We start from the raw sequence: 19,330 nt of genomic DNA, 5'->3' as shown, positions 1-19,330 counted from the left end.
GAAAAAGAACATGACAATTCACTAAAGCAATTGTCTTAGATAGTGAGATGATATAGAAGTGTCATAAATTGAAGTAAAGACAGCAGATTGTTAATTACCAGCATATACCTAAAAGGTCTGACCTGTTAAGTGACAACTTTCATCAAATTTGATTTAAGAAATCTACATATATATTGTTAACAAAAGGTGAAAAAAATTGTTAAAAATTATCTTGCAAGGAATAACTAAAGAAAGCCAGTTTATCTATGTTTGTGTAATTTTAAATATACCTTAAGCCCAAAAGTAACTTCAGATACCACATGATAAAAGTTTCAACTCCTAGAAAATTATGTTTTAGTTATGAATTTATCTAATTTATCTAATGATATTATTTATTATTTTATAGTGCTTCATGGTACTATAATTAGTATATATTTCTCTTCATATACACACATGTACAGACATCACTACACACATATATGTGTGTACCTGTTTGTATACATGATTATATATACATATATTTGTGTGTGAATGTATATTATATATACACATAACATGTATGTGATTGTGAGAGCACTACAAAGAAAAAAAATTTTTTTTTTTTTTTGAGACAGAGCCTTGCTCTGTCACCCAGGCTGGAGTGTAGTGGCACAGTCTCGGCTCACTGCAACCTCTGCCTCCTGGTTCAAGCGATTCTCCTGCCTCAGTCTCCTGAGTAGCTGGGATTACAGGCACACATGACCATACCCGGCTAATTATTGTATTTTTAATAGAGACAGGGTTTCGCCATGCTGGCCAGGCTGGTCTGGAACTCCTGACGTCAAGTGATCCGCTCGCCTTGGTCTCCCCCAAAGTACTGGGATTACAGGCATGAACCTCTGTGCCCGGCCAAAAAAGCAAACTTTATAATAGGAGATTTCAGTTTATGCTTCAATTACTAAATGAACAAGGTGAAAAAATCTGTAATGATATAATAAATTTGAACAACGTAATTAACAACATTTATCTAATAAAATTCTGAAAACAACATTTAAGAATCTCACATTCCATTTAAGCACACATGAAATATTGTACCAGGCTATAGAAAACATCTTTTAAAAATTTGAAAAGTAAACAATAGTAACCTTTTCCTAACTGCCTTCCCCTCCACTCCCCTATACCTTGCCACAAGGAAAAAAAAAATCATTAACTTTCAGGAGGGCAGAGAGTAATTCCAAAATGATTGAAATTCTGCCGCTAGCACCCGGTGCAGAATGGAGCTAAAGTAAAGGATCAATATACTTATGAAAATATTAAGACACCATGTGCTTGAGTAACTGTGTTTGTGAAACTGAAAAAAATTTTCTACTCTGTGTACATTTGTTCTTATGTTTTGTAAAATTGGGATGATGTCATATAATACATCTCTATGCTCAGATATGTTTTTTACTTAATATTCTTTCATGATACTTTTTTCATGTCACTATCTTGAGAACCCACCACAGCTACCGAGTTTCCAACACTTCTTCCAGCCAAAATAACAGAAGCCCTCTTCTAAGTACCAACTTATGCCAGTATACACTCGGATAATTAATTTTAAAATCTGCAACGGTCAAAATGCATTTTCTCTTGTTCAGTCCTCAGTTGTGGTGGAATAGAAGATGCCTGTTATCTTCCTAAGTAAATGAAGGATTCATATCAAGCAACTCAGTTTTCACTTTTCTGAATACTCAGCCCTACTCCCATCATCCCATGACCCTGAATAACCAATACTGATTGTCCCCTTGTGATTCTGGGGACTTCAAGGAAGGAACAAGATCATATTTACAAAATCAGGAACAGTACTCACCTCACTGGAAATTTTTTCAACAGTAGTCCAGATCTTGAGATCTTCAGAAATGCAGGAATCAATGCTTATTTGTGTGAGGGGGGAGATAAATCAGTAAAGTTCCCAGAAACGGAACCGCAGGATGTTGTAATCTCCAGAAACGCTAAGAAAATGAAGTATCTGCAAAGATAACAAGGAAAAAAGGCCTTGGTTGAGTCACTTAGTTAGCTGACTAGTGCTGGCTTGCTCCTATTCTGCTATTGCCCCAGAGAAAATGGAGTAGGAAACAATGTGGAGACTCCTCCCACCAGTGTTTTTAGCTTTCGTTTCTGTTAGTCAGAGAAAATGAACAGTTTCCTGGCAAGGGCTGGAGCATGTGGTGAGGGGAAATGGGGGATGAGAAATTACTTTAATGGGTACAGTTAACATTTTTCGGGTGATGTGCACACTGAAATCTCTGACTTCACCAATATGGCATATATCCATGTAACGAAATTACACTTGTATCTCATAAATGTATATAAACACAAATAAGTTTTTTTTCTTACAAAATTCGATAGCTGAAAGGAGTTCCAACATTAGAACTTTCTTACCCAGCAGACTTACATGTGAGTCATTAGAGACTTATATTCCCTTAAATGATGCTCAAATATAAGAGAAGCAACATGGCTTCTTCTCCCCTCCTTTCCTGTGCACAGAGTGGCAGTGGCAGGAGGAGATCTTGGTAGGAGCATCTATTGCTACCAATACTTTACTGCATCTCCTGGTTGGGGAAATGTCTGCTATGAAATCGCTATTTGTTTAAATACTACCTGAAGTATTCATCCAATTATTAATAACTGACAAGCCTGGGCTTTCCAGATCAGAAAGTCATTATGAATATGTAAATCCTTCCTTAAATTTATATGAAGGAGTTTAACACTAGCTGTCCTCTTGACCATGACTAGGTTACTTTACCTCAATGATTAGATTCACGAATGCTCAGATTTTCTGCATTATTCCTGGATAAACAAACGTGGATAGTGGACTCTCAACATGACAGCATCGAAGACTTGAAAATCCTGGAAAATGCACTGAACTTCCGGTAGTGTGAGGAGTCTGTTTAATCCTCTGCTCAGCAGTGTATTTTTCTCTGTTAAGGACAGTGGGTGCCCTTTAGCGTGCTGTAACCCCAGGATGTCAAATAAATGGCATCAACTAGCAGATGATGTGGTGTTAACCCAGCAGCAGATCTGCAAGCAGGATGTGGTCATGAGTGGAAAAGGGGCCCCATAGACTGTTAATATGTACTGTCCAAGGCCATCTACAGAGCAAAAGAAAGCTGATTGTTTTAATCCAAACTAGGGCCATGAAGTGAATAGCTGAATTCTGGATTTGAAACCATATGAATAACTTTATCAAAAAAGGAGTAAGTCAAGAAAAAGCAAAGAGGATCTGGAATGATGGCCATAAACATCTCTGGGTGTTCGTGATAATCTTTTACTGGCTTTAGGGTACTCTTTACGTGGATACATTGAGTTGGCCTTAAGGCAGTAGGTAGAGAAGGATATTAAGGCAGTCACTGGGAACCCCAATCCAGAGGTCAAAGGGTAGAGAACCCTTGGAAGTTATGACCCTTCAGAACATTTTCTGCCTTTTACTTATAATCATTTTATATGCAGTAATGTCCTCAATTGGGACTCCAGCATACAACACACAAACTGCGGTCACCTATAAGGGCAACTCAGGACAATGCTCCATAATTCATACCACAAAGATGAAATTTTCATAGATGAAGCAAAGAAATGCTTAAAAATGTGCATTTTCCCCCACTTTGTGGCAGTGGCCAACAATTGCAATTTGTGCTATCATACAGAAAAGTCATTAGTAGAATATACAAAAATTCCTGATAAAGCAAAAAATGTGCGAATATATATACATATATATAAATTATGTAGCTACATTATTACAGTGACTAAATTTATATTAATCAGGCATTATTCTGAATAAAATCTCTCAATTATGTACCTATTTTTGAACAATGAGTGTTCCATTTCTCTCTTTATGACAAAAAGCAGCTTACTATTTTACCTTTCTGGCCTCATTTTCCATACTGTTCCACATATACCAAAGTTTTAGCTGTGCAGAAACATTTATGTCACTTCACACTTTAGAGTATTTGTAGGTGACATTTCTCCTGTCAGTATTGCAAATGTCTTTACCTTGCTAAGAACAAAAAGACCTATTGCACACTGGTTTTTCATGATGCAATAGACTGTGGCATATGCATTGTTCACTTGTTTTGCAAATCAACTCTATGCAGCAAAGTTTCCCCTTTTTAGAGAAGACTACTATCTTAGTTGATTTGGGTCTTCTGGATGCTGAGGGTTCCAAGATCAAGGATGGCCAACTTAGTTTCTGGTATGAGCCCTCTTCCTGGCTTGCACATAGCCATATTTATGCAGGGTCCTCACCTAGTGTTGAGAGAGAGAGAGAGCACTCTCTGATACCTCTTCTTATAAGGGTGCTAATCACATTATGAGGACCCCACCCTCATAAACTACCCACCAAAGGCCTCGTTTTCAAATATCATCACACTGGGAGGTTATGGCTTCATCATATGAATTTAGATAACATAATCCAGTGTGTAGCAGTAATTGAAGCTATTTTCTAAAAACTAGGCGCCTAGTTAGTGTTGGAGCCAAATTCAAACCAGATCTACCTTATTCCAAAGCCCATGCACTTGAATGCTAAGCAAAATTACTTCCTTGATTTACTAATTTCTACACATATTTTTTTCTTTAGCAAAACATCCATGTCCTTTTAAGCTTGTGTGAATGTCATTTTCTTCATTATTTCTTTACAGATTCTCCACTTAACAATATTAGCACAAGGGCATTGTTTGGGTTCTCATGCTTCCTGCTGGGGCTGGACCTTTGCTGTTAAGACACAGAATCTGATTTTCCCAAAGCCTAAACCGAATTATTTTCTTTTTTGGAATACTAACATTTGTCTCTCCAACTCTCACATGAATGGAACCATGCATTTCAGATAATGGCTTTGATGTTTTGTCCATTGATTCTCAGTTGAAATTAGAAGTCAAAGTTTATCTTTTTCGTCACACTTGGTTTTGTGCTGTTTCCTTTTCCCCAATACTTCCATTTTTCTCTGTATTATCTTGTATTTCCTAGATTGTGTTCTACTTAACATATGTATTTGTGATTAAAATTAAAGTATATTATTATATGATAAGGTAAAGGCCAATTCAATTCTATAAACAGTCAGAAATGCGAAATAACACAAAATTACGGACATAAAAGATGGGAGAAGTTTATGGTGCAAATACCTATCGCCTTGGTCTTTTTGTTTGTTTGTTTGTTTTTTGGCACTTGCACCAAGGGTGAATGTAGTTAAACAGGTGGTTATCGGGAAAACGCCCTGCTGGACTAAGAACCACCCTATATTGAAATGCCTAACCTTGTTTTTACTCTAACTCGTTACTTTGAATTTTGTCCTGCTTGTCTCTTTAATCACCCAGCCTTGCTTCTCATGTAAATAAGACTCTCTCTAGCTGGGAAGGTCGGACAAACTCCAATTGACCCCTTAATTTACAAGACACTAAGGGCTCCTTACCCAACCCCCTTTAGTAAGGAGTTGGCCTGGGTAAACAGATCCTCAGCGTTTCAAAAGAGCCCAATTAACTGATAAGGTAGTAACACCAACAATGTATGAAGTTCCCAGGCTTTTTCTCAAAAAGATAACAACATAAAACCTTGAGTTCGTGTCCGGCATAGACCCTATATCTAATTACAATGAAAGATTTACAACCTTGCACCTGGTACCGTTGCTCTTCTTGTAACCATTTGTCTTTTAAGGCATGTTTTTGCTTCTGTAGAATTATTGCATTTGAGTCCCCCTCCCCTTCCTAAACCTAGGTATAAAAGTTAATCAAGCCCCTTCCTCGGGGCCGAGAGAATTTTGAGCATTAGCCGTCTCTTTGGCCACTGGCTTACTAAAGGACTCTTAATTCGTCTCAAAGTGTGGGGTATTTTCTTAACTCGCTTGGGTACAACAATATAAGCACAAGGCAAGCTCAGACCAAAGAAGAGGCAGACCACTCCTGGCTGGTTGGTAGTCAAAGATCTAGATAGCAGAAACTTACACAGGAGGCAGTCTTAAGCGGGAACAAGAGAAGTCAGATCTCCACCTCGCAGTGCACGCCTGAGTAGTCTTTCAGACAGTGAGAAGAAACAAGGAAGGAAAAGCTGATGGGGGCGCTGAGGGGTGGGGATAGCTATACCGATAGTGCCTTAGGCCATCTGGTTGCTCTCTTAATCTATTTACTTCCTGCTTAAATGGATTGTTTGAGCTTCCTTCAATCTGTTCCACATTGCTAAGGAGTGGGAGGATGTTCCTGGAAGCAGCAGTCATCTTGGTGCCAGTATGCATTTTCCAGTGGGACTGCAGCCTCCTACAATTCAATTTAAGCTCAGTTCCCAGAACACGTTTTCACAACAATGCCATTCCTTCCCCTCCAACCTCAAGGCTTCTCTCAGCCAGTCCTTCCTTGAAATTTTGTAGTTTCTGTATTGCAGTTTTGTATTCTACTTTTCCTGTTGCTCAAAGCTAATGCCATAAACTCCAGACAACTCTGTTGGCAGAAAGAGCTTCTGTAGTTCTAGGGATGACCTCTTTACTTTGGAGTGGAATAAAAGAGACTCAGTGTTGAGGCAGGAGAGGAGAGTGAATGCATATGGAAACCTGGGGAGTGATGTGAACCAGTCATGATATACTGTACAAGGCCAGAGTTGGCATCATTCATCTGTTTATTGCATGTCTCATGGAGAAAATATGAGTGAAAGAAGTTTCTGGTTCATGAAAACTCCTGTTCTCTGACCCTCCCTGTAATGGACATGCATACTTTCCCACTGTCTTAGTCCATTTAGTGCTGCTGTAATGGAATACTATAGACTGGGTAATTTATACAGAACAGAAATGTATTTCTCACAGTACTTGAGGTGGAAGTCCAAGGTCAAGCATCAGTATCTGGTGAGGCCTTCTTGCTGTGTCCTCACATGACAAACGGGGCGAATTCACCCCCTACATGCCCGTTAGAGTGGCATTAATCAGTCTATTTACGTGAGTGAAATTCTCATGATCTAAATACCTCCCATTTGGCCCAAGCTCCCAACACTGTTGCATTGGGTACTAAGTTTCAACATTATTTTTGAAGGGGGTAAAAACATTGATAGTTTCTACTTCTCCGGCTTTATCTCTGCTATCTTCATTCTTTATTTGCTTATTTTATCTAAAACTGTTCTCCAGAAAGCATTCTTTGAGGATCTTTACTAGATTGATAATTTCTTTACTCTGTTTAATTTCAGGACTTCACTTTGGCTGTCAAAATTTCCCTTGATATAATTTATCTCTAAAATTGAAGATGAGATTCTCTACTGTTGTCAGTAATGAACTCTCCACCCTAAACATCTGGTTTTGGGAATTTTTTTTCTTTTGAGACGGAGTCTTGCTCTGTTGTGATGGCACGATCTCGGCTCATTGCAACCTCTGCCTCCCAGGTTCAAGTGATTCTCCTGCTTCAGCCTCCTAAGTAGCCAGAATTACACGCATGCACCATCAAGCCTGGCTAATTTCTGTATTTTCAGTAAAGACAAGGTTTCACCATGCTGGCCAGGCTGGTCTCAAACTCCTGATCTCAAGTGACCCACCCACCTCGGCCTCCCAAAGTGCTGGGATTAGAGGCGTGAGTCACGATGCCCGGCTGGTTTTGGGAATTCTTACCCCAAATTACTAACATCTATAATTTACTCAGATTTACTTAGCAATAAGGGCAAAATTAACTGAAATTTAGATTTCTTAACCTTTTTTTTTTCTTTTGGAGATAAGGTCTTGCCATGTTGCCCAGGCTGATCTCAAACTCCAGAGCTCAAACAATCTACCTACCTCAGCCTCCCAAAGTGCTGGGATTACAGGCATAAGCCACCACATCCATCCTTAATATTTTGGCTGGAATTTGGGTATTAATATATTAAGAAGAGAGAAATAAAATTTACAAGTAATGGAGAAGTGGTGTTTGAATTTTATTTCCTTTTATGTTTTAGATTAAGGGTTGACAATCTTTGGTTCAAGGAAAGAAACTGCTGTTCACACAAATAAGTGCTTCTATGTGTTTGAATGTTTAAGGTATCAAGTCATGAGTGTCAGAAATGCAAAATAATACAGAATTGGCTGGGCGCGGTGGCTCACGCCTGTAATCCCAGCACTTTGGGAGGCTGAGGCGGGCGGATCACAAGGTCAGGAGATCGAGACCATCCTGGCTAACACAGTGAAACCCCGTCTCTACTAAAAATACAAAAAATTAGCTGGGCATGGTGGCGGGCGCCTATAGTCCCAGCTACTCGGGAGGCTGAGGCAGGAGAATGGTGTGAACCCAGGAGGCGGAGCTTGCAGCGAGCCGAGCTCATGCCACTGCACTCCAGCCTGGGCGACAAAGCGAGACCCCGTCTCAAAACATAATAATAATAATAATAATAATACAGAATTATGGACATACAAGATAGGAGAAGTTTATGGTGCAAATACCTATCGCCTTGGTCTTTTTGTTCCCTAACTCAGTGACAGGTGGCTAACTGCTCCTTAGGCTGATAGAGCCAAAACGTGATTCCAGCCTAAGAATCACAAAAGAGCAAAACAGAGGAGGGATTGCTTAGGTAACAGAGATCGAGCTCCTTTAGGAATTTGGAATATGGCAAGTTATTTCTTCTTAGCTTTACGGCAGTAATTTAAGTGTTATGTGATTTTGTAATTGCAGAATATTATGACATAGCCAGAATAAAAATACATCTATTGTCTAAATAGATAACTGGATTCACCAGTTAAATTATCGTGAAAAAATAACTAATAGCAGAAACATTAAAATAAACCATGCGATTTTCTATCAGCTTAGTCTGAAAGTTCACACAAATTCAATTACTTGAAGTTTCCCTGCAATACACCATGTTTTACTTCCTTCTTAGAATCTAGGGTATCTTGCACAGTGGAACCATAGGAAGTTGGATTACTCCCACCAGAGATGGAAGTTTCCAAATTTTCCACTTTTATTAAATATATGTTATATATTTGGCATAATGCCTTGGATTTTGAAAAGCCTTCTTAACCTTGCTGTCTTTTGAAATCATTCTACAAGTAGATAGATATGGTTTGATTATAATTTTGTTTTTTATCTATGCTATTTCTGGCTTGAACATCCCTCTTCAAGAATGTGCAGTGAGGACATTTGCTCTGTGCATTCTCAGGTAACTCTGGCTCTTGAGTAATCAAGCCATATGGATGAATAGAGCCTAGGAAGTAGAGATTCCCAGGGCTGAAGTCTTAGATGGGATGCCTAGACAGTTGATTCAACATATGTTTATTTAACAAATGTTTATTGAGGACCTACTACTCTAGGTGGTAGGAGTACAGCAATAAACAGCACACAAATGCTTGACCACAAGGCACTTCTATTTCAGCAGGCTGGCCATTAAAGAATAAACAAATAGCAACAGCATTTATACTATAATGTCATATATAATATAATGCTTATATATTACAAGCAGATAAATTCTATGAAGAAATACAAATGGTATGAGGTAATAGTAACGGTATCGTGCTATTTTGCAGCATGTGTTCATTGAAGGATGAGCTTAGAAAAAAACAAGCAGAAATCTGAACAGAGTGAAGGAGCAAGCTTTGCCAATATTCTGGTTGAAAAGAAATAAATGATTTGACAAAGAAAATAATTGCTAATGCTTCAATTATAACACTACTATATATCTGAGGGTTGGTGTTTTCGAAGCAAATAACACTAGTTTTTTTTTTCTTTCTTTTTTAATTTTTTTAAACAGAGAATCATTCCATACTCTCTGTATGATAAGCAGGCTGTTGGCATAAGAAAAAGCAGAGCTCCTGGATTCAGAAGACTTGAATTCAGTAATATGTACTGTCTTTTACTAGCTGTTTGGTTCCAGGTAACTCATGCCACCTAATTTAAAATGTAACAATTGAGAGACTATAATAAATGCCAGCTGTTTTGTATCAGGCATACCATACTGTGTATTTACAACCTGGAGATAGGAATTATCATCCCCATTCAGAGATGATTATATGCTCCCTCAACATTTTCTTTTCTTTGTGTCTTCCAGGCTTCATGTGAAAGCACTTTGTACACAGTAAGTTGCTACCCAGTGTCAGCTATTATGCATGGTACAGGACCATACTTCTCAACTACAGTGTGTACACCCCTGGGACATGAAGCCACCAAATCAATTGTCTGCATTTTCTTTGGGTATACATTTTACCCTATAGCAAATACTTTAAAATATGTTTTAAGTAAACAGATATCATGGAGTAAAATGTAAATTTTATATTTATGTGATAAAAGGTGTCTTAATTTTCTTATATATAAATTGTTATTGATATGTGAATGTTAGCACGTAATAGGGTTGTAGGAGGGTTGCATTCTTATAGATAAGTAGGGAAACATGCTGAGTTGACTGTGTTTAGCATATAATAGATGCTCAGGAAATGCAAATTTCCTTCTTTTCTTTCACTGGTAAGACAGGGGCGTTCATGTAGTTTAATCATTTTAAGTATTTGAAATGTGTTCCTTATTTTGAAAATGTCCCTTAAAATACTTTATAAATACTTTCAATTTTTGCTTATAAATTCTACATGTATAAATAGGGTTTCTCTAGCTATCACCTGTCTATAGGAAAAAATAATAAGTTCATATTAAAAGTAATAACTCAGAATTCATTAACATTGTCTCTATCAATGGGAGCCTCCCCTAAAAGTCACAGTTGGTTATCTTCAGCTCATAAACATCCTTTCTTGTTCTTGGCTCAAGTCCTCTACCATATAGGTTGCTACTTTTAAAGTAAAATTACTAAATACTGGTAATTTTGAGCACCTGTTCATATGTGTGTTGGACATTTGAGTAACGTGGTTATTCATACCTATTGTCCATTTTTCACATGGGCTGTACAAATGGGACAATATGTAGTTCTACACACATTCTGAATTATATACATTGCCTATGTTTTCTTTCAGGATTTGGAAGTATTATGTTTAATTTTTCTTTTTTATAAAGAAATTTAGAGTTTACATGCAATCAAATTTAATAAACTTTCCCTTCCTGACTTGCACCTTTTGTGCTTAAGACACCTTCCCCTACCTCAACATATTGAGATTATCCTGTTTTCTTCTAATGGGTTACTGGTCACATTAGGTCTTCAATGTGCTACACACTTTAAATAATCAGATCTCTGTGACTCAGAGGAGAACTCACTCATCAACCAGGGGATGGCACTGAGCCATTCATGAGGGATCCACCCCCATGAGCCAAGCACTTCCCGTCAAGCCCCACCTCCAACACTGGGAATCACATTTCAGCATGAGATTTGGGGAAAATAAATATCCAAACCATATGATTCCAAAAACATGATCCATGAAAGAAGAAATTGAAAAATTGAGCTTTATCTACTGTATACATGTCAAAAAATTTAAATTGCACATGTGAAATATGTGCATTGTGTTGTATGTCAGTTATGCCTGAATAACTCTGTTTTAAAAATAACAGGAAAATGGATCCCATTTTCTAAGAATTCTGGAGGTGGTTGTATACCCTCTGAAGATGTCTTTCCCAGGAAGAAGGACTATCTTGCTTAAAAAGTTATTTCTTATATTTCACCAAAATCTCTTTTACTGTACTGTAAACATTTTATTTTCCCTTTAAAAAATAGTAACAGCTCACCTTGCTTCATTTTGAATGTTGAATCACTTTTGGTGGTATAATCTTACATAGTTTGGATCCCTTATAAGCTGAAAAGTCGTGAGATGGAGAGTAAATATAAGGAGATACTCTTGCTAACCAGCCTGGATAACATCACCGATGAGGAACTGGATAGGTTTAAGTGCTTTCTTCCAGATGAGTTTAATATTGCCACAGGCAAACTGCATACTCTAAACAGCACGAGTAGCCAACTTGATTTAAAACGCTGGCATGGTGTCTGCAGTGAGGAAGACCGTATTTTTCAGAAGCTGAATTATATGCTTGTGGCAAAATGTCTTCGGGAAGAGCAGGAAACAGGTATATGTGGGAGTCCCTCATCTGCCCGGTCCGTTTCTCAGTCAAGACTTGGTCTTTCCTTTCATGGCATTTCTGGGAATGCATGTTGATGAGGGAAACGGGATGACACTAAGCTATTCATGAGGGATCCACCCCCCGTGATCCAGACACCTCCCATCAGGCCCCACCTCCAACACTAGGGATTGCATTTCAGCATGAAAGTCCCCCAGGGAAGGCTGCTGGAATTTGTTTGCTAACTTACTACACCAGCCTCGTTGCCCCCTTTTACTGAGAAATCACTCCTAGGAAGTGTTTGTTACAAATTCCACAAATCCATCCCAGCCTTTGTTTGCATCTCTTGTTCCAGCCCTTAGGGCTGCCACTTCCATTTGTCATATTTTCACTTCTCCAGTTCAATTGCAGCGAACATGAACATGGAATTTCAATCTTAACTTCTCAAAACCTCATTTACATGTTTACCAAAGATTTTAAGATAAAGGAAAGAAATCATAGCACTGGAAAAAAAATAAACTGGGATACTAGGTCGTTTTGTTCTTCCACACAGCCTGCTCATTCTTCTCCCTGTCCCCGGCCTGCTGTGGTCCCAGACGATCCTTTCTTCTTCAAGGGAGTCTTGTATTCATACATCCGCTCTTTCAAATTCAAATATTATTTATCCTTCTCTCTATTTCCTTCCACTAATGACAACAAACTACCCGCACACAAAAACTGTTTTTATATTATTGGACAAATCATTGAATGTCTCCATCTTATCTGCATTTTGTTTACATTTCTGATCTTTTTCTCTATAATTAATATATCCTTTATTTATGTCTGTATAATTAAAATTGACCAACAAAGGAGCATCTCACACTAGGATCCCCCAAAATGAGAGCCTCCAAATGTAACAATTTAGAGATTTTTAAGTTCAACTCTAACAGCAAAACTTATACGACATCTTTTACTCCGTGTGTGTGTGCGCGCGCACGCACGCAGGCACGCAACATGGATAACATGGTTTCTATGTTTACATGATTTCTATGAAGTCGAGATGAAACCATGTAAGTGATAATATAAGCCACAGATCTATACAGATATAAACTGTTAGGCAATATTTAAGGCGCTTTAGCGAAAGGGCTTGTTGTCTTATGCATTATATTTTTCTAGGTTATTCAAAGTCAGAAAGTGTAGTGCTTAGGTATTGCCACAAGGTGGCAGTAACTTCACATAATGTGCGGAAGCAACTAACCGACCTGCAGAAATCAATTAAGTTCCTTTACAGCTCTAAATTTCTATTCTAGATCACGCCTAGGCCTACTTTGAAAGTAGCAAATTTATTTATTTGTGCCCCATGCTACCCTTAACTGTCCCTGGAGGAAACCAGTTTTTTGTTGTGTTTTCTGTAGGTTTCAATTTTCATTCCTTCTTGAAAGTTCTTTCTGCATAACCAGTGCTATGCCTGCATGTGGAGCACTATACAGTATTCTACCCACGATCTCACCTCATGGAAGATAGAGGAGATCTGGAGAAATCTTTAATGAAGACGGTTAATAATCATTTTATGGGAAAGATCAGTAGATGGAAAGAGAGATGACAAAGTATGAGGACACTTAAGCCTGGAAAAAGGAAGCTGAGAGAGCTTGTGATCAAATTCTGTAAAAGTCCTGCAAGATTAAAATAGAAAGTTGAAAATGATAAATGAAATAATAAGTGAGAATTCTGCATCTGATTATTAATGAAAAAGAGATTTACAGTGGGCAGACATACTCGTCCACAAATATCGGTACCACTGTGTGGGAGATGAAATATGACTGATGTGATGTGGTAGAATGATAGGCTGATTCCCTTGGCCTCCCTTCACTCTGTTTTTTCTCGTATACTCTCAACACAGAAGGGAAACTTTATCTTCATACCTCTCTGAAACCAGTTTCATGAAACTAAGCTACCTTTGAAAGTTAGTTTTACTACTTCTTAGAGTAGACATTCCTTTACACTAACCCTGACAGAGTCCATGACTTTCTATTGTTTGAAATGTAGTGACATATTGTTAGATATATAGTTTACAAATATTTTATCCCATTCTGTAAGCTGTCCCTTCATTCTGTTGATTGTATACTGTGCAGAAGTTTTTAAGTTTGATGTAATCTCATTTATCCATTTGTGCTTTTGCTGCCTGTGCTTTCGAGGTCTTATTCAAACAATTCTTACACATACCAATGTCCTAAGGCATTTTCTCTGTGTTTTCTTCTAGTAGTTTCATAGTTCTGGATCTTACCTTTAAGTCTTTAATTCATTTTGAGTGACTTTCACATGTTGTGAAACATAAGAGTCTAATTTTATTCTTCTTCATGTGATTATTCAAAACATATAAGGAATTCAAAGAACTCAATACTTGGTATAAAATAAACAAAAACAAAATAAAATAACCTGATTACAAAGTAGATAAAAGCCTGAATAGACATTTCTGAAACGAAGTCATACAAATGGCCACCAGGTATATGAAAAATTCTCCACATCACCAAACATTGAGTAATGCAAAGCAAGGCCATAATGAGATTTCACCTCATCCCAGTTTGAACGGCTATTATCAAAAAGACAAGAGATAACAAATGTCAGCAAGGATGTGGAGAAAAAGGAGCTCCTTACACTGTTGGTGAGAATGTAAACTCATAAAGCCATTATGGGAAATAGTATGGAGGCGCCTCAAAAAATTAAAAAGAGAAATACCATATGATGTAGCAGTCCCACTTCTTATAGTAAGAAGAATGAAATGAGTATGTTGAAGAGCTCTCTACACTCTCGTATTTATTGCAGCACGATTCACGGTTATGAATGGCACTATTCACAATTCACATTGATTGATGTGGATTCAGCCTAAGTGTCCACTAGTGGATGAATGGATAAAGAAAATGTGAAGGCACATGCTGACAAACATACAGATGCACTTAAATTTATACTAAAAATCACTGGACTGCGTTGCTAACTTCCATTAGGGAAGAATGTAGAACAGACCATGGGATTCTTTCATTGCCAGGTTCATGTGACCCTTTCCATATGGTCAACACCAGACCAGAAATTTAATCAGTTCCAGCCCAAGTGCCATCACCAAAATGTGAGAAGGCTGCCCACTGCTCAAAGGTTTTCAATTAAGATAGGTACTCCTGGCTGGGTGCGGTGGCTGAGGCCTGTAATCCCAGAACTTTGGGAGGCCAAGGCGGGTGATCACGAGGTCAGGAGATCGAGACCATCCTGGCTAACACAGTGAAACCCCGTCTCTACTAAAAATACAAAAAAAAAAAAAAAAAAAAAAAAATTAGCCGGCCATGGTGGCCGGTGCCTGTAGTCCCAGCTACTCGGGAGGCTGAGGCAGCAGAATGGCGTGAACCCAGGAGGTGGAGCTTGCAGTGAGCTGAGATCGCACCACTGCACTCCAGCCTGGGCGACAGAGCGAGACTCTGTCTCAAACAAACAAACAAACAAAAAGATAGGTACTCTTTTTTTGAACATGTGACATGGGTGTAGACAACTGTGTTTCAGTTTGACTGGGAAGATAAAAGTGTTTTCTTTATAGAGGAAGAAAGCCCAGGTCTGTGCCCTCAGGGCAGGCTGGGGAAATTGAAAGTGTGGTTTGGGTAAGACGGTACCTGGTAGAAAGGACATCCATGCAGAATCAGTGCACATTGAGTGCAAAAGGTGGCTTTGGTGGCTAGACAAATGGCCCTTTGTAAGGAAGGCTATGCACACTGGTGTCAGCAGCTCTGGCCAGTTCTAGTTGAATCTACAGAACCTGACAGGGCATGATTGATGAACCCCTAAGTTAGAAACACCTGGGTCCAGGTAACTGAGGACTGTTCCACACATACAAAAAGCATGGAGAAAGACGTGTGGCTTATCAATGAAAAGTAAAATGTTAAGCCCTTCACTGACTGAACAGATCCCTTCTTGGCCAAGGGGACCCCAGGAAAACCTTAAAACTGAGTTTCTGGCCATGATGGGTGGGAGGTCAGACACACTTCACTATACCCTACCTCCCTTTTATGGTTTAGACACAACAACTGATCAGGATTGTTAAAACAGAGATCATAAAACTGACAGAACAGACTCTTCATGGCCAAAAAATACCAAATTATACACAGGACCTAGGGCCATGCCAGGCAAAGATTAAGTCGTGCACTCCAACACTTAAAGAATAAATAATGTTCTAGTACTTCCAGTCCAGGCCAGAGGAATTAGGCAAGAGAAAAAACAATAAAGGGCAAGAGTAAGTCAAACTATCCTTTTTTGCAGATAACATGATTCTATATCTAAAAAACCATAGTCTCAGCCCCAAAGCTCTATCAGCTGATAAACAACTTCAGCAAAGTTTTAGGATACAAAATCAATGTACAAAAATAAGTAGTATTCCTATACACTAACAACTGCCAACCGGAGCGCCAAAACAGGAATTCAATCCCATTCACAACTGCCAATAAAAGAATAAAATACCCAGGAATACAGCTAACCAGGAAGGTGAAAGATTTCTACATTGAGGGTTATAGAACACTTCTCAAAGAAATCTGAGATGACACAAACAAATTGAAAAACATTTCACGCTCATGGATAAGAAGAATTAATTTCACTAAAATGTCCATACTGCCCAAAGCAATTTACAGATTCAATGCTATTCCTATCAAATTACCATTGACATTCTTCACAGAACTAGAAAAATCTACTCTAAAATTAATATGGAATCAAAAAAGAGCCCGAATAGCCAAGACAATCCTAAGCAAAAGGAATAAAGCTGGAGGCATCATGTTACCTGACTGCAAACATACTACAGGGCTACAGTAACCAAAGCAGCATGGCATTGGTACAAAAACAGATACACAGACCAGTGGAACAGAATAGATAGCTCAGAAATAAGGCCGTACACCTACAACCATCTGATCTTTGGCAAAGCTGACAGAAGCAAGCAATGGGGAAAGGACTCCCTTTTCAATAAATGGTGCTAGGAGAACTGGCTACCCATACGAACAAGATTGAAACTAGACCTCTTCCTTATACCATATACAAAAATCAACTCAAGCTGGATTAAAGACTTAAATGTAAAACCCAAAACTATAAAAATCCTGACGACAACTTAGGCAATACCATCTGGACATAGGAACGGTCAAAGATTTCATAACAAAGATGCCAAAAGCAATCATAACAAAAGCAAAAATTGAAAAATGGAATCTAATTAAACGTAAGAGCTTCTGTACAGCAAAAGAAACTATCAACAGAGTAAACAGACAATCTATAGAATAAAAGAAAATTTTGCAAACTATGCATCTGACAAATGTCTAATATCCAGCATCTATAAGGAACTTAAACAAATTTACAAGAAAAAAACAAACAACCTTGTTGAAAAGCGGGCAAAGAATGTGAACAGATGTTTTTCAAAGAAGACATATGTGTGGCCAAAAAGCACATGAGTAAAAGCTCAATAGGACTGATCATGAGAAAAATGCAAATCAAAACCACAATGAGATATATCTCACACCAGTCAGAATGGCTATTATTTTATTTTTAATTTTTAATTTTTTTTTTTTTTTGAGATGGAGTCTCATTCTGTCACCCAAGGTGGAATGCAGTGGTGAAATCTCGGCTCACTGCAACCTCTGCCTCCTGAGCTCAAGCAATTCTCCTGCCTCAGCCTCCCTAGTACCTGAGATTACAGGTGCCCGCCACTGCGCCCAGCTACTTTTTATATTTTTAGTAGGGACAGGGCTTTGTCATGTTGGCCAGGTTGGTCTTGAACTCCTGACCTCAGGTGATCTACCCACCTTGGCCACTGAAAGTGCTGAGATTACAGATGTGAGCCACCGCCCCTGGCCCAAATGGTTATTATTAAAAAATCAAAAAATAACATGCTGACAAGGTTGTGGGGCAAAAGGAATGCTTATACACTGTTGGTGGGGTGTAAATTAGTTCAACTATTGTGGAAAGCAGTGTGGTGTTTTCTCAAACAGCCAAAAACAGAACTACTATTCAACCCAGCAATCTCACTACTGGGTACATACATGAAGGAAGATAAATCATTCTACCATAAAGACACATGCATGTGAATGTTCATTGCAGCACTATTCACAATAGCAAAGACATGGAATCAACATAAATGCCCATCAGTGGTAGACTGGATAAAGAATATGTGGTATATATACACCATGGAATACTATGCAGCCATAAAAAAGAGTAAGATTATGTCTTTTGTGGGAACATAAATGCAGCTGGAGGCCATTATCCTTAGCAAACTAACACAGTAACAGAGAACCAAATACAACATGTTCTCACTTATAAGCAGGATCTAAATGATGAGAACTTATGGATACAAAGAAGGGAACAACATACACTGGGGTTTACCTGAGGGTAGAGAGTTGGAGGAGGGAGAGGATTAGAAAAAATAACCATTGGGTACTAGGGTTAGTACCTGGGTGACAAAATGATCTGTACAACCAACTCCTGTGACATGAGTTTAACTATATAACAAACCTGCAAATGTAACCCTGAACCTAAAATAAATGTTTAAAAAAGGATAAACTATGGTCTAAGTGTGACAAAGTTATTTTTTTAAATATCTAGCAGCCAAACAAGCACTGACCTTGAAATAAGCAATATTAAAACAATTACAACTCATCCAGCTCACAGGTGCTGATTAACTGAGCTCCTGTTCCATCAGCCATAGCTACAGCTTTGATTGGACAAAATACTGATTTCAATATTGTTATCCTGATAAGAAGATGACCAAACATGGGCTGACTGGCCAGTTTGCAGAGACTGTGCAATTGTGTACCTTTGTGTCCTGAAAAGACCTTTTGATGTATATGTTCTAATTGTAATACATTTCAATATTAACTCTACACCACAAAGTGAACATGGGTCATATACTACATGAATGTTTGTTCTGTATGCATGTGCATGTGTCAAGACTACTGACTAATTCATTCTCACACTGCTAATAAAGACATATGCAAGACTGGGTAATTTATAAAGGAAAGAGGCTTAATTGACTCACAGTTCAGCATGGCTGGGAGGCCTCACGACAATTACGATCATAGCGGAAAGCACCTCTTCACAGGGCAGCAGGAGAGAGAATGAGTGCCAAGCACAGGGGGAAGCCCCTTATGGAACCATCAGATCTCGTAAGAAGTCCCTCACTATCACAAGAACAGCATGGGGGAAACTGTCCTCATGATCCAATTACCCTCCCACTGGGTCCCTTCCATGACACATGGCAATTATTACAATTCAAGGTGAGATTTGGGTGGGGACACAGAGCCAAACCTTATCACTTAGCCCATGGTTCCTCCCAAATCTCATGTCCTCACAGTTCAAGACACAATCATGCCCTTCCAACAGTCCCCCAAATTCTTAACTCATTCAAGCATTAACACAAAATTCCAAGTTCAAAGTCTCACCTGAGA

General features: G+C 38.5%; 2 protein-coding genes across 14 annotated transcripts in view, besides 4 other annotated features; one reads left to right on the top strand and one right to left on the bottom strand.

Moving 5' to 3' along the window:
* The window catches only part of IFI16 (interferon gamma inducible protein 16), a 55,176-nt gene extending 43,183 nt beyond the window's left edge, over positions 1-11,993 (bottom strand). For 4 of the 13 annotated variants that reach the window (NM_001376587.1, NM_005531.3, NM_001376592.1 and 1 more), the window contains exon 1: positions 1,808-2,062. The gene's annotated coding sequence lies outside the window, so the exon portion shown is untranslated. Of the gene's footprint in view, positions 1-1,807; positions 2,063-2,743; positions 6,008-11,573 lie in introns of those variants that run through there. The other 9 variants (NM_001364867.2, NM_001376588.1, NM_001376591.1 and 6 more) reach the window with 5 other exon arrangements.
* Positions 2,126-2,205: an enhancer, noted in NCBI's record as "active region_1901". NCBI's record gives its function as "activates an Ori minimal core promoter by ATAC-STARR-seq in GM12878 lymphoblastoid cells {active_cell/tissue: GM12878}" and the evidence as "EXISTENCE:reporter gene assay evidence [ECO:0000049][PMID:35858748]".
* Positions 5,533-6,056: an enhancer, noted in NCBI's record as "OCT4-NANOG-H3K27ac-H3K4me1 hESC enhancer chr1:158975703-158976226 (GRCh37/hg19 assembly coordinates)". NCBI's record gives its function as "activates a minimal SCP1, AML or CMV promoter by ChIP-STARR-seq in naive H9 embryonic stem cells {active_cell/tissue: H9 hESC(naive)}" and the evidence as "EXISTENCE:reporter gene assay evidence [ECO:0000049][PMID:30033119]".
* Positions 6,057-6,582: an enhancer, noted in NCBI's record as "NANOG-H3K27ac-H3K4me1 hESC enhancer chr1:158975177-158975702 (GRCh37/hg19 assembly coordinates)". NCBI's record gives its function as "activates a minimal SCP1, AML or CMV promoter by ChIP-STARR-seq in naive H9 embryonic stem cells {active_cell/tissue: H9 hESC(naive)}" and the evidence as "EXISTENCE:reporter gene assay evidence [ECO:0000049][PMID:30033119]".
* Positions 9,218-11,998, top strand: PYDC5 (pyrin domain containing 5). Its single transcript, NM_001320010.2, has one exon. The coding sequence runs from the start codon at positions 11,657-11,659 to the stop codon at positions 11,996-11,998; it is 342 nt and encodes a 113-aa protein (NP_001306939.1). The 5' UTR covers positions 9,218-11,656.
* Positions 15,481-15,590: an enhancer, noted in NCBI's record as "active region_1900". NCBI's record gives its function as "activates an Ori minimal core promoter by ATAC-STARR-seq in GM12878 lymphoblastoid cells {active_cell/tissue: GM12878}" and the evidence as "EXISTENCE:reporter gene assay evidence [ECO:0000049][PMID:35858748]".

Source organism: Homo sapiens, chromosome 1 (assembly GCF_000001405.40).
Source record: "Homo sapiens chromosome 1, GRCh38.p14 Primary Assembly".
Taxonomy (NCBI): domain Eukaryota; kingdom Metazoa; phylum Chordata; class Mammalia; order Primates; family Hominidae; genus Homo; species Homo sapiens.
Note: the sequence above shows the minus strand (reverse complement) of the source record. Positions and strands in the feature narration are given on the sequence as shown.

Coding starts and splice junctions, on each gene's coding strand:
- PYDC5 (NM_001320010.2), top strand. CDS start 11,657: ATGGAGAGTAAATATAAGGAGATACTCTTGCTAACCAGCCTGGATAAC.